The sequence below is a fragment of the Homo sapiens genome, chromosome 12 (genome assembly GCF_000001405.40).
Source record: "Homo sapiens chromosome 12, GRCh38.p14 Primary Assembly".
Classification (NCBI taxonomy): Eukaryota; Metazoa; Chordata; class Mammalia; order Primates; family Hominidae; genus Homo; species Homo sapiens.
In genome coordinates, this window is record NC_000012.12 from 75,767,645 (window position 1) to 75,782,641 (window position 14,997).

The following is a 14,997-nucleotide window of genomic DNA, read 5'->3' on the forward strand; positions in this document are numbered from 1 at the left end:
AAAAATATATCTAACTAGCACCCCAATTTCCTCTTCTTTGGCTGAAACTACCAAATCATTATGGAGATTCTTTCCTATGAAGGAGTAAAAGACATACTATACCCAAATATGCCATATTGATTATTTCAAGCTGAAAACACTGGAAAATTGTAGTTTCAAGAAAAGGCTGACCTGTCTTTTCCTGTCAGGTGCAAGCCATAAAGATTTCTTTGAGACAGGTGCCTTCCCACTACCAGGACAAAAGAATAGTTCTTAACATTGGAGCCAGACTTGGCACTGCAACAGGACTGAATTAATTAACTCTGCCACTAGCTTTACACTCCATGTATATACCTCCTAGTGACTCCTCTAGAATTTACTACCCCAGGCAGATTTCTTTGTCCTGTCATTTCTTCACAAATTTATTTTTGTCTAAAAATTATAAAAGCTTTGGCCATTTCTTGGGACTTCACACTCTGGTGGAGATGCCCCCACACTCAGGTAAAACATGCATGCTTTTCTCTTGCTAATTTGCCTCGTGTCAGTTTGGCTCCCAGACCCAGCCAAAGAGCCCATAGAAGAGTAAAGGTGCAGTGAAGGGTATCCCTACCTCCCCTACACTTAGCTCATGCTAATCAGTATTCCTAACAATCCCATATAGGTCTTCGATTAATAAAAGTGGAGAAATAAGTTATTGAGTGATAAATACCATCTACTTAGTAGAGTAAAAGCTATCAAAACATGGGTCAACGGAGAAACTTTTAAAGGAATTCTTGATAGTGAAAATTTAAAATGACTTACCTTTGACTGTTCTCCTCCTCCCTTCTCTGCTGAATACATTTTGTCTAGAATCTTCAGAGTAGAAAAATACACATGAAAACAATTTTCCCCCCGTTCCTCTCTCAACATTCCTTCCCTTATCCCTCCTCTCCACATGTCCCCCTTTTTTCAAATGGGATGGCTATTCCACTATTCCAGTTGGCATTGGGTCTGGTGCCCTGTGAGGGAGCCTACATTTCTGAAATACTTCTCTGGGAAATAAAACACCAGTAACCTACCACTACTTGATATAACAGGTATTTCCAGAGCCAGCTTTGTTAAGGATTTGCTGCATGGTTCATGGGTGTTTTCTCCTAATGTCAATTATCAGTAAAAATCACTTTCAGGAGTTCTGACTTAAACAGTTACCAGAGAGAAAGAGAGAACACTAAAATGTAATCTAATATCATTTTAATAACCATAGAGTCATATGATTCTAAGAATATAAAGATAATATAAAACACAGGATTTCATCAAGTTCAACAGTCTTTAAAAATCAATGGAAGAGATATGTTTAGAGCCAAGGAAGTACAAAACTAATCAAACAATGTAAGGATTGTAGATTCCCCTGAGTAGAAAATCAAAGATCTTGACTATGAAACCACCACCTCCCCTGCAGTTATGAATTCATTGGCATAACAATTATAACAGGGTTCTATCAAGGTTGCCCAAAAGAATTCTTCTGATTATGCAACCTTAAGTTAATAGCAAAATTACATGGAAAGGCATTTCCAATTGGCTTGAGCCAAATTGCTTAAAAACAACCATTAGGTTCTTTTTTGGTAGATAACAATAGCAGTCAGCTGCTCACCTACACCTCACCGCTGTGTTAATATGAAAACTCAAACCAAATTCTGCCATACGCACCGATTACGTTTAGAGATAAGAGTAAAAAGCTAGCATGAATTGTGTGCTCTTTACTGAAGGTGGAGATTGTCTCAAATGTTTTAGCCAAATCATATCTCTTTAATAGCACTAATTCCATGCATGAGAGCATACTTCTATGATCTATTATGCTAACATAATACTTGAAAATACTTCTATTATTCATTATGCTAATTAGACAAATGCGTAGTGTTGATCGAACGTAAAGATAGCTAAAGCCTTGCAGAAGCCTCCTGTGGAATGCAAACTTTCTGAGCAAATGTGAGTTGACAACCATGGGAATGTGAATTTCTGATCAGGGCTACTGACTACCCCTAGATTTTAGCCTAAATTACACACACAACCATGTACATTTATAGCTCAAAAGAGACTGTGGGGAATGAGGTGATCATTTTTTAATACTGATAAGTATATGTTAACTTTGGGAGTATTTAAAATTAAGTACAGCTGGGTGCGGTGGCTCACACCTGTAATCCCAGCACTTTGGGAGGCCGAGGCGGGCGGATCATGAGGTCAGGAGTTTGAGACCAGCCTGGCCAATATGGTGAAACCCAATCTCTACTAAAAAAAAAAAAAAAAAAACACAAAAATTAGCTGGGCATGGTGGCTCACGCCTGTAGTCCTAGCTACTTGGTAGGCTAAGGCAGGAGAATCGCTTGAACCAGGGAGGCGGAGGTTGCATTGAGGCGAGATCGTGCCATTGCATTGCATTCCAGCCTGAGCGACAGAGTGAGATGTCATCTCAAAAAATAAATAAAATAAAATAAAATAAAGTATAAAATTGTACATCAAAACAAAAATACATTATTGTGTGGAGAAAGCTGTGCATATTTGAAATTTTTTCTTCTTGTAATGTTTAATAAAATTTATCCTAGTAGAATAATAGCTCAGCTTGTTTATCTCAATTTGAAATATGTGCTTGAGAAATTGATTCAGATTTATGAATTGAGTCAAAATCTTCCTAAATTTATATACAGTAATAGAACTCTTAAGCAGACCCAAGTTTCTCAATATTTATAAATGTACTTCTTAGATTCATAACAAGTGTTAAAGTATACAGAAAACTCTGATAGCCAGTTAAAGTTTTTTAGAAGGTTTCAAATCAATAAAATGTAGAGGCTGGGCGTGGTGGCTTACATCTGTAAACTCGGCGCTTTGGAAGGTTGAAGGGGAGAATCACTTGTGCACAGGAGTTGGAGACCAGCCTGGGCAACATGGCAAAATCCTATCTTCACAAAAAAATTTTAAAAAATGAGCCAGGCATGGTGGCACATGCCTGTTGTGCCAGCTACTCAGAAGGCTGAGGCAAGAGGATCACTTTAAACCCAGGAGGTCAAGGTGGCAGTGAACCATGATCATGCCACTGCATTCCAACCTGGGCAACAGAGCAAGACCCTGTCTCAAAAAATAAAATAAAATAAAGAAACATAATTTAAAATGTTTAAAGGCATTTAAATAACCAGATTTTAAATGGGACTAAGTATCATTCAAAAAACCCATCAAAGTAGTTGTTAAAATGCACCAGACATGTAAAACACAATAAAATTTTTGGACTGAGTTAAAAGCCGGTAGAACTAGATGTTTTTAATTATAATTCTGTTAAATTGAATTTTTTTTTTTTAAGATGGAGTTTCGCTCTTGTTGCCCAGGCTGGGGTGCAATGGTGCAATCTTGGCTCACTGCAACCTCCACTCCCAGGTTCAAGTGATTCTCCTGTCTCAGCATCCCAGGTAGCTGTGATTACAGGCATGTGCCACCATACCAGCTAATTTTTGTATTTTTAGTAGAGATGGTGTTTTACCGTGTTGGCCAGGCTAGTCTCAAACTCCTGACCTCAGGTGATCCATTTGCCTCAGCCTCCCAAAGTGCTGAGATGACAGGCATGAGTCATCACGCCTGGCCTGAATATTAATTTCTATGACCAAAGAAAACCTCTGAGTAGCTTTTCCTATACACATAACTCACCTTCAGGGCACTAACTAAAAATTTCATTATTAACATCATTAAACAAAATCTCTTTGTCAATAGGGATGACTGAGGCTTGCAGCATTTCTCATTTAGTGTAACACCTCCTTTGGGGTCAACAACAACAAAAAGAGTCAACGAACTCCATTCCCAGGCCCCCACTGTGAGTCAGGATGTCAGAATCAGCGTTTTGGGACTAGGACTGGGTTGTAGAAGTCATTTAATCTAATCTGTGGATGAAGAGACAAACTGAGAGCCTAGAAGGTTAACTTGTCCAGCATCCCCTGCAAACAAATCAGTAGTGGAGCCAGAGTTAAATACAGGTCTCAGGACTCCCAGCTCAGTGTTCTTTTCAATATTAATGAATATTTCTTAAGTTATACTAACCAGGCACTTTTTCTAGACTCTGGGGTTATAACAGTAATAAAGACAAAATCTTTAACTTCTTAGAGGGTGGAAGTAGATGATAAACACATATATAGTTTTTGTGAGGTTGTTGTTGTATTTTTGTTGTTGTTGTTTTTTGAGATGGAGTCTTGCTCTGTCGCCCAGGCTGGAGTGCAGTGGTGCGATCTTGGCTCACTGCAAGCTCCACCTCCGGGGTTCACGCCATTCTCCTGCCTCAGCCACCCAAGTAGCTGGGACTACAGGCGCCCGCCACCACACCCGGCTGATTTTTTTTGTATTTTTAGTAGAGACAGGGTTTCACCGTGTTAGCCAGGATGATCTCAGTCTCCTAACCTTGTGATCCTCCTGCCTCGGCCTCCCAAAGTGCTGGGATTACAGGCACGAGCCACTGCTCCCGGCCTGATAAACACACATATAAAGGAGAAAGTGTGAGTTGGTGATAAATGCTTTAAAGAAAACAAGGTGTCACGACAGGGAGTGTGTGTCTCACAGGTGGGTGGGGGTTGGGATGTAAGACTTTTATTTAGGCTGACCAGGAGGAAAGTTATCGCTGCAGGACTGACCTTTGAACTGGAACTGAACGATGAGAGAAGGCTACCAGCGCTGGGTGTAAAGGAGAGGAAGAAAAAATCTTCCTTTTCTATCCTTCTAGGTTCTTGGCTAAGGCCCCTGTTACAATAGACAGATTAACAAGAGAGACGGCCGGACACAGTGGCTCACGCCTATAATCTCAGCACTTTGGGAGGCCGAGGCAGGTGGGTCACCTGAGGTCAGGAGTTCGAGACCAGCCTGGCCAATATGGTGAAACCCCGTCTCTACTAAAAAATACAAAAATTAACCGGGCGTGGTGGCAGGTGCCTGCAATTCCAGCTATTTAGGAGGCTGTGGCAGGAGAATCCCTTGAATCTGGGAGGTGGAGGTTGCAGTGAGCAATGACTGCGCCACTGCACCCCAGCCTGGGCGAAAAGATCAAAACTCCATCTAAAAAAAAAAAATAGAAACACACAGGAGTTTATTAACATGCAAATCATGCATGTGACACATGTGAGTACCCAGAGACAGACGAGTCCATAACCTTTCAGGACTCGACTTTTATAGCATTTTTAACAAAGAATAATAATAAATGTGTAGAGAAATGACGGAACAAAGAATAATAATAAATGTGTAGAGAAATGACAGAACAAAGGAAAGCAGTTTTAGGTTTCCAAGGGCAGGGAACTATGGGAAGGTAAACATATGGGGTAAACTAGTGGAGTAAGAGTTGTTGGCAGATTCCTCTGGTGCTGTCTCTGGGTTGGTAAGAGTCTGGAGTCAGACCTAGGAAAGGAGAATTTAGATCCTGCCTTTAGGCAGAAAGGGGGAGGGTTGAGAGAAATGTTCTTGTGTTTGCTACTTCTTAATTGCCTTCAGCTCAAACTAATTCCTATGTCAAAAAGGCATATTTTGGGGGGACATATTCTGATCTCCTTCACCAGCAAAAAGCCCTGGGAAGAACATCAGGTGGTACAAACTACGGCAAGTACAAAGAGGCTGGGACAGAGAAGGGCTTGAGAAGTGGGGAGGAGGAACATTAAACTTCAACATTAAAACTTGAAGGTAATGCAAAGTTGCTTGGATTTTATTCTAAATGCAGTCTGGGCCACTGGAGGATGGTGAGCAAGGAGTGACATAACCAGATTTACCTTTTTAACGGAGCACTCTAGATGCTACGAGGAGAACGTTCTCTAAGGACGTGAGAGTAGAAACAGGAAAACCAGCTGGGAAGCTGCTACAATCCCCCAGACAAGAATGATGGTGACTTAACCAGTGTGTTAGTATAGGCGATGGGCAGAAGTCATCAGATTCTGGATATATTTTGAAGGTAGAACCTATAGGATATGCATCAGCCCATTGTTCTTTTTTGTGACTCACAGATATTTCTTGCCTCCTTCAGATGGTAAATGTATTATGGTTAGTGACAAGGCAATGGTGATATGGTGCAAAATTTGGAATCCCCCTATTTTAAAATGTCAGAAAAAGACAGAAATGCAGATCCCCAGCCCTAGACATGGCCCACCTCAATTTCCCTTGTAGCGACTCCTTGGGTGGTGGTAGTGCTTGAGAACTGTATTTTATGTGCTAATGGCTCAGGAGACAAATAGATAAAGTAGAAAGGGCTTTAGAGACAGACCTAGATCCAGATTTGGGCACCACAACTTACCAGCTGTGTGATCTTGAGCAAACAACTTGACTTCTTTGAACCTTTGTTTTATTATCTACAAACTAGAAAGAATCATTTTAAATATATTAAAATATCATTTAAAATGATTTTAAAATATCTTGCACAGTGTCTGATTATGCATATATTAGGCATTCAAGAAGGGTAGCTTGTTCCCTTTCCTGATGAGACTGTACCAGAACTAGGTAAACTGCAGCCCTTTGAGCTTAAAAGTGAGTATATCACATAAAGGTGCATTTCCTGGAAGCTCAGAGGATCTCAATAATACTGTAAATATCTTCTGCTATGTTCACAAATATTTAGAGTGAATGGGCACTTATCACAGGCTCCTAAAACTGTGACTTTAAATTTGGTCTCTAGAGGCCTTGTGAAATTGCCTTCCTGAGTTTCACAGCCTCTAATGTTAAACATCGTCTTAATTAAAACTTTCATTCTGAGAGAAAGAATCTAAAATAGGGAAAAGCCAGAGTGGGTCCCCTGGCTGCTGAAACTATCCAGAGCATAAAATAAAAACCTCAAGGTCAAGGACTATTTAACCAAGCTTAGCAGAGATATTTTCAGACTCTTATGCAAATTAAAACCACAAGATTAAACATAATTCTGGGCATAGTATTCAGACAGGTCAATTCAGCCAATTCAGGCCTCTTTTCCCTGCTGAATACCTATAATTTGTCATATGTACTTAAATGTCCCTTTTAGGCAGCTTGAACTCTACAATTAATGGGAGAATCAATCATATGATAATTTGTTGGCTCTGTCTACAAATATCGCCACCTTTGGTTTTCAAGGTTTTTCAAGGTCAGAGTCCCATTTTTTAGTTTTATCTTTATTATCTTAAAGGTCAATTACCTCCACTTCTTACAAATACCAATAGCCCTGCCAAGTGAGTGATTTCTTTTTTTTCTTTTTCAGAGACAGGGCCTCCCTCTATTGCCCAATTGGCTGTCAAAGCTCACTGCAGCCTCAAACTCCTGGGCTCAAGAGATCCTCCCATCTCAGCCTCCCAAGTAGCTGGGATTACAGATGCATGCTACTGTGCCCAGCTAAGTATTATTACTATTCTTTCTGTGTAGGGGGGGTCTCACTTTATTGCCCAGGCTGGTCTCAAACTCCTGGCTTCAAGCAGTCCTCCTGCCTCGGCCTCCAAAAGTGCTCAGATTACAGGCATGAGCCACTGCACCCAGCAGAGTAATTTTCAATTGTATTTCCATTTGTCTTTCCTTTAGTCTCATATCCACAGCTCCATATCCACATAAGGAATTGACACCCCTTTGATCTTCTATGAATCTTCCAAAATGATTACTAACTAATCTCAAATACCACCCAAGCATATATGGTGTATTAGGACTGTGCGCTGACATTTCTTCTTCCCTTTCAACAGCATGGCACAATACTGGCACAAAGAAACCATCAGAGAGTAATGACAGTGTCACACAGTACATCACATGGATTCCACTATCTTATGGATTGCATGAAATTAGTTCATCTATATGGATTAATTCCTTTCAAGGTGGTTTTTAGTCAAGTTCCCCTCAAAAACATACTGTGCAGAGATTCTATTGTTCTGATCATTCTTAATATACCCTCTGCTGTTTTGCCAAAAGTAACAAATATTCACATGATGTTGACCATATGCTGGGCACTGTTTAAAGACCTTACATCTAGAAACTCATTTAATCCTCATAAAAATTCTATAAGGAAAGTACTGTTATTATCTCATTTTACAGATAGGGAATTGAAGAATAGAGATTAAGTAATTTTCAGAATGTCACCAGTTATGAAGTGAAACCCAGTTGGTCTGGGTCTATCAACAAAACTCTTAGCCCCTGCACTAGGGTTTTTCAACCTTGGCACTACTGACACTTTGGACCAGATAATTCTTTGTTGTGGAGGGCTGTCTTGTGTGTTGCAGGCTGACTAGCAACATCCCTGGCCTCCACCCACTAGACGCCAGTAGCAACAATACCATACCACCTGCATTGTGACAACCAAAAATGTCTCCAGACACTGCTCAATATCCCCTGGGAGGCATGTTACAACTACCCATTGAGATTCACTGCCCTATACCATATTGCTACTGCATTAAAAAAGTAAAGAATAACTAGATTTACAGTTGTAGAAGGAAAGTTAAAGTTCAAGGATTAATATCATTAATCAAAGGAATCCTCACTCACTGTAATTAATATTGACAGTAGACTATGCTGTCTTTGTTCCTTCTTCTCTGGCCTTTTCCTAAATTGGAAAATTGCTCACCTAAGACCCTCAGCTGTCTCAGTTGGAGATTTGGCCCTTCCCTTTAAGTCTATAACTGAGGCATTGAAAGAGGTGTGTGGCTTCTTAAGCAATAACTGAGGCTGATCTCAAAAAAATGCACAGGTCACCTCAAAATCCTTTTACAGCCTTGAAGGTGTGAGGAGAGGCAAGCACAAACAGAACTTCATTTTCTCTTAGAAAGGAAAGTTATTTTCCCTTTCCACCTTCAGCAGGCTATTGCTGCCTTGTTCCCTAAATAGTACATTAAAATGTTCTGCAGTTCATGGGACTGCAAAGGTTTATGTGCTTACATGGTGCCACTCAGGTTCTCCCTGGACGCTGTGCACAGAAAAGCATTGAGAACACAACACTTTTCACAGCTTTTTGATGTTTTCTGGGGCTAAAAAGATTGCGTTGAAAATAAGGAAGACTTTTTCTTAGCTTTTCAAATCTCCATAACTGAGAGGATGCCTATGGTAATCTTGGAAACTGTTGCCAAAGGGAACATGCCTCGTGGCCAATGTCTAGTGAGTAGGTAGGAGACTGCACCTGATCAATAAACAATGGTGGAGTTGTTTTCATGGAGCATGTTTTCCATGAACCCAACCCAAGCAAATTAAACCACACATAAACCACCAGCCAGTGTGATATCTTTAAGAAATCAGACTATGCTCAATCAGAATAAAGCACCCAACTGGGTATCATTAAGCTTTTGAAAGTACTTATGCTGCTAGAATTTTTCCCTTGAGGTAATGATTTTGTTCAATATTGTTGCAGTGTGCATTTTTGAGTATTTGGCATGTGCTGGGAGCTATTAATCTAGTTCTCCCCCCACTCACAACTTCTCTGGCAGATACTATAGTGAAAATTTCAGTGAGGTAGCAATCAAGGAATCTTTGGTTCCATTGCTCCTTCCGCTAACAGCACATTGTAACCTTGACTAAACTACTTAACTTCAATGAGAATCAGATTCCTCAACCATACAGTGAAAAGTTTGGATTGTTAAAAAAAAAAAAAAATGTAAGATTTCCTACAACTCTACAGTTCCATGATCCTTTAAATTTATTTTTTAGCTAACATATATTGCGCTCTTATTTATCACATGCAATTCTTTGTTCTAAATACGTTCCATGTATTATTGCACTTACATTTCACAACAACTCTCTCTGTAAGGCAGTTACTATGCTCACCATGTTAAAAATGAAGACTAATTCTATAATGTAGTTCAATGCACTGTATCACCAAGGGGAAGTCTACCATTCAGGTGGAAGGAGAATCATGCCAGAGAGTACACAGCATAAGGGCAGGTGCCACAGCCAATCACTGACCTCTCTCAGCACCTATCACAGGTCCTGGCACCTAAAGGGAAGTCAATAAATACTGATTAGATATGTAAGTGAAGGAATAAAATGTAGTATCATTTTTGTAAAATGTATCAAGAAAGATGGGCAGCTATGGTTTGCAAGCTTAGAACTCACCCAAAAGTCCATATGCTGTGTTTCAAAAACATTGAGGCTTTAGTTCTCGTATGAGTTTTGATGTGTCAAGATTACCCTTCATTTGCTTTTTAAAAATAAATGTATTCGCAGGACGGAAGAATTTTAAAAATAAAATTTTTACTGTGGCTTCTCACTGATAATTCTGGAATGCATGGGAATTTTAATTTTCTAATCCTGGTTCATATAATCAGGGAGTACATTTTTAAGGAACTGTGTTTAACTGCAATCTTATTTTAAAATGTTTCACAAAAAGATAAAAATTTTGGCAACTATCTTGGAAATCATGCTTTTGTCAGATGAAATAATTATGTTTTTCGATAATTTTGGCAAACATTGAAAGGGAAAACGTGCTCTAGAAGAGGAAAAAATTCAAGTGCATGTAATAGCTTATTTAACATAAAATAAAATGCTATTCTATCCTTTTGGTATGGCTGAAATATTTCCTAAAAGCAAAAAATTAAAATTTATCAATAAAAGACTAAGTGATAGCTCAAAATGTAATAATTTGCTGTTGTTGTTATTCTTGGTATTAACTTTTTCTGTTATTTCCATTTGATAGTAATAACATATAGAAAGTGTTCAGGGTCTATGTCAAAGCCAAGATTGACCACTACAGAATGAGCATTCAAAAATAGTGGGAAGGCCTGGTGCGGTGACTCATGCCTGTAATCCCAGAACTTTGGGAGGCAGAGTTGGGCAGATGACGAGGTCAGCCTGGCTGACATGGCAAAACCCCCTCTCTACCAAAAATACAAAAAAATCAGCGGGGCATGGTGGGACGCACCTATAGTCCCAGCTACTCAGGAGGCTGAGGCAGGGGAACTGCTTGAACCCGGGAGGCAGAGGTTGCAGTGAGCCGAGATTGTGCCACTGTACTCTAGCCTGGGCACAGAGCGAGACTCCGTCTCAACAAAAAAGAAAAGAAAAGAAAAGAAAAAAAAATAGGCCGGGCATGGTACCCCACGCCTGTAATCCTAGCACTTTGGTAGGCGGAGGCTGGTGGATCACCTGAGGTCAGGAGTTCGAGACCAGCCTGGCCAACATGGCAAAACCCCATCTCTACTAAAAATAGAAAAATATTAGCTGGGCATGGTGGCGGGTGCCTGTAATCCCAGCTACTCAGGAGGCCGAGGCAGGAGAATCACTTGAAGCTGGGAGGTGGAGGTTGCAATGAGCTGAGACTGTACCATTGCACTCCAGCCTAGGCGACAAGAGTGAAACTCCATCTCAAAAAAAAAAAAAAAAAAAAATAGTGGGAAGAGTAGTGAAATGAATAATGGCCAGGCCTTATTTCTAAGAATCCATTTTAAAAATATATTTTAAAAAAAGATCAACCCAAGGTGATTCTGTATTGCCAGATCTTGTAAACTTTATGTGTCGTCAAAACAATGAGGTCTCCTGCATTCAAAAATGTGTATTTCTGATCTATACATTTTTATGTTGACATGTATTTTTCTGTCACTTATGGGGCATGTAGAAAAGTAACCAAGATACTCACTGGACCCAGTTCCTTCAGAGTAAAGCTTTCATTCCCTTTAGTTTGGATGATAACCATAGATTCTGTAACCCAATGATCAAAGATATAAAAGAAATTGAGATTCAAAGCTGACAACATTGACCTTTGGGATAAAATTCTCTAGCTACTGTATTCTTTCACAGAATGCTTAACCTTTTTTGGTTGACTCTCCAAAGATTCCACCCTCAATAAAGCAATTTTCTATAGCTAGAATTAACCCTTACATATGTTTTTAAAAACCTTGAATTAGGTTTTCCACATAGAACATGTTCAGTAAAGGATTTGAACTAATAAAGGATTTGGTTTTGGTCCACAGAAGACACGAAAATGATTATTTTCTAGCAGCCCATTTATTCAATCATCTATTCCTTCAACAAATATTTATTGACTGCCTTCTATACTCCAGGCACTGTGCTAGACATTGTGGGTACAGCAATAAAGAAAACACAGTCCTTAGTCTTGACCTAATAGAAAAGATAAATAAGGACAGATCCAATTACAATACTTAGTATATATGTTGTATGACCTGTGCTGGCACCTCACCCAGTCTCCAGCAGCCCAAGATTTCCCAGAGGAAATGCCAATTATGCTGAAATGTGAAGGACCAGTAGAAGTAATCCCAGGGGAAATGGCAGCATGCGGAGTAGGTGAGACCCAGGTAGAAAGTTGTTTCAGATAGAGAAAATGAGATTGGCAGAGAGATGGAGTGTGGGGCATTCCAGAAACACAAGCTATCTCACTACCGGGCGAGTAGATTTTTGCTCCCACTGCTGTATCCTGTTTACAACCTCTTTTGACATAGACAGGATAGTTAAGACAACATCTGTGAGCTTTTACCATATTTGGATGCAATTCTTTTTTCAGCTCTCAAATTTGGTGACAATACTATTTCCCTTTACATTTCTTCTCCCTCATGCCATGTTCTGCCCCTCCCAGTGACCTCTGCAGTCTGGCTCCTTTGCAATCTTCAGCTGCCTTCCGACTACGTCATTATCACCATTGAAGGGCTAATGAGACTGGACAGGAGGGCTGGTGCCTACCATACTGGTGCTTAAGTTCGACTCCCAGCTGCCTACATTTCTCTGGTTCACAGAATTCCACTGTTCTCCTTTCAGGAAGAAAAGGATTACAAGATTAGCTTCATGATACCATTTCCAGCCTACCATATATAGTAAGAGGAAGCAATTAAATGTGACTTCCATGACAACCTTTCAATCTTCAGCCAGACTCCCCACTAGGATATCTGTCTGGAGGGAGGCAGCAGGGGTTTCAACTATGTAGGTGAGGTCAAGGAGTATATAATTACAGCCAAGTGCTACAGAGTCTAACAACTCTTTTAGCCTCCTGCCGCAAACAGCAACCAGTGTGTGAATAAGGCACAAAACAGTTGCCCAAGTTAGAAAGCCAATATTGTGGGGAATCTGGAAGTCTAGCTTCCATGGGTAGTGCAAAAGAGAGTCCTTGAAGTAAATAGACTCAAACAGCTTTAGGAAACACTGTTAACCATGCCTAGCTAGCCTTGATTTCAGCTGCAATGGAGAAAAGAAATACATTTGTCAGAATCCTATCTTTTTTTTTTTTTCAAGACTCAGCCATTCCAAGAAGCCTTCCCAAAAGCATGAAGTCAGAATGGTCGTCAACAACAGTAAATCACAGAGATTTCTGGGGTATAAGAAGAAAAACAAATGCTTTTCAAACCATTACCTTCTCAAGGAAGGTGGATAGACCTTCTAAAGGAAAACTCAAGATCTCCACTTCTGTTTTGAGCTCATAAATGGAGAAAGAGTATTTTATTTAGGTGAACATTTTGAGATTTGGGTTGGCAAAGGAGGGCTTACTTACAGTGGAGTTTGAGGGATATGATTTGTTGTGCATCATAAAGAGAGGAGAATGTGGCATCCCTGGGAACTCTAAAGTATGGAAGGAGGACTGGGTCTAGGAGTCGAGGCAAAATCTCCAGCTTCAGGAAACCATTACAGCTGCGGAGAAACTTTGGCCCAGGCTTTAGGGTTCTTGTATCTCTCTCTTAAGAGGAGAGATGTCTGTTGACCTTGGAGAAGAAATGAAGCATGAACCTGGGACAAGAGCCCGTTAGTCCCACATGGTTCTAGCTGGTGCAGCACAGAGCCCTGGCAAACTAGGAGTTAGTAAGGACTCAGATGAAAAGATGGAGGGGGAAGGGAAAGGAGAAGTCAGCAAAACGGCAAATGGTGCTGTAGAGAGTGGCTTGACAGCAGGGGAAACAAGTGCTCTGAGGCAGGATGGCCCAAAGAACTTCTAGAAGCAGGAGAGCTAATATTCAGTTTTAAATAGCTTGCTTTTTTGCAGCATAAACTCCTCCTTAAAGCATCAGTGAAATCTGCTGCACATACAAGGGCTTTGAGTGAGTGACTATTTCTGGGAAATCAAGAAAAGTGGCTCAGGTCCAGGTCTGCATCCGTGTGAAACAAAACAAGAATGATATAGATAGGAGAGGGGGAAAAAAAAAAATAACATGAGCAGGACGCAAAAAACAGAGATAAGACCATGACAAATAAGCCCTCCAGAAATGTGCATAATCCTGTGTCATGAGTCTGACTTTTCTCAATTCTAGAATGGGGTATGGAGAAGGTAATCTTATCTAGACCTCAGGGGCAGGTGACTCAGCTATCTGTCACTCAAGTGATATATAATGATTCTGCTGAGGCTTATGTCATGTGATTTGAAGGATGCAACAAGAATTTCCTAAACAAAATATCTAATATTTCCTCTTGGCTTGTGCCAGAGCCTGAAATCAACACCATCATCATTCTTTCAGGGTGAAGCATGAAAATCTTCCCTTAAAATACAATCATACTCTGACACTCATTAGGATCACTACTATCAAATAAAAAAAAAAAACAAACCCAGAAAACAACAAGTGTTGGCAGGGATGTAAAGAAGTTGGAACTTTTGTGCACTGTTTATTGGGTTGTAAAATGATGCAGCCACTACGGAAAAGCGTGGCTGTTCTTTAAAAAATTACAAATAGAGCTACCATGTGGTCCAGAAATCCCATTTCTGGGTATATTTCCAAAATAATTGAAAGCAGGATCTCAAAGAGATATGTGAACACTCATGTTCTTAGCAGCACTATTCCCAATAGCAAAGAGGTGGAAGCAACCCAAATGTCCATTAATAGATGAATGGATAAACAGAATGTGCTATGTACATGCAATGGAATACCATGCTCCCTTAAGAAGGAAGGACATCTTGTTATGTGCTAAGACAGAAATGAACCTTGAGGACAGTATGTTAAGTAAAACAGGCCAGTCACAAAAGGACAATAACCATACGATTCCACTTATACGAGGTATCTAAAGTAGTCAAATGTATAGATATGAAAATGCAGAATGGTGGTTACCAGAGTTTGGGAGGAGGGGGAAGTAAGGAATCGTTTAATAACTACAGAGGTTCAGTTCTGCAAGACGAAAACC

The 14,997-nt window shown here is 40.1% G+C and overlaps 2 long non-coding RNA genes across 7 annotated transcripts in view; both read right to left on the reverse strand.

Moving 5' to 3' along the window:
• LOC105369844 (uncharacterized) overlaps positions 1–14,997 on the reverse strand; it is a 310,508-nt gene that overhangs the window by 243,384 nt on the left and 52,127 nt on the right. The gene's annotated exons all lie outside the window — the stretch shown is intronic.
• Positions 5,048–13,821, reverse strand: LOC105369846 (uncharacterized). Of its 3 annotated transcripts, XR_001749217.2 has the most exons (5): positions 13,247–13,821; positions 12,583–12,650; positions 11,525–11,586; positions 9,718–9,886; positions 5,048–6,318 (listed from the first exon to the last, which is right to left on the reverse strand). It is a non-coding gene; the product is annotated as an uncharacterized LOC105369846 (long non-coding RNA). The 3 variants fall into 3 exon arrangements; XR_001749216.2 differs by having other exon boundaries at positions 12,583–13,821; XR_001749215.2 differs by having other exon boundaries at positions 11,525–13,821.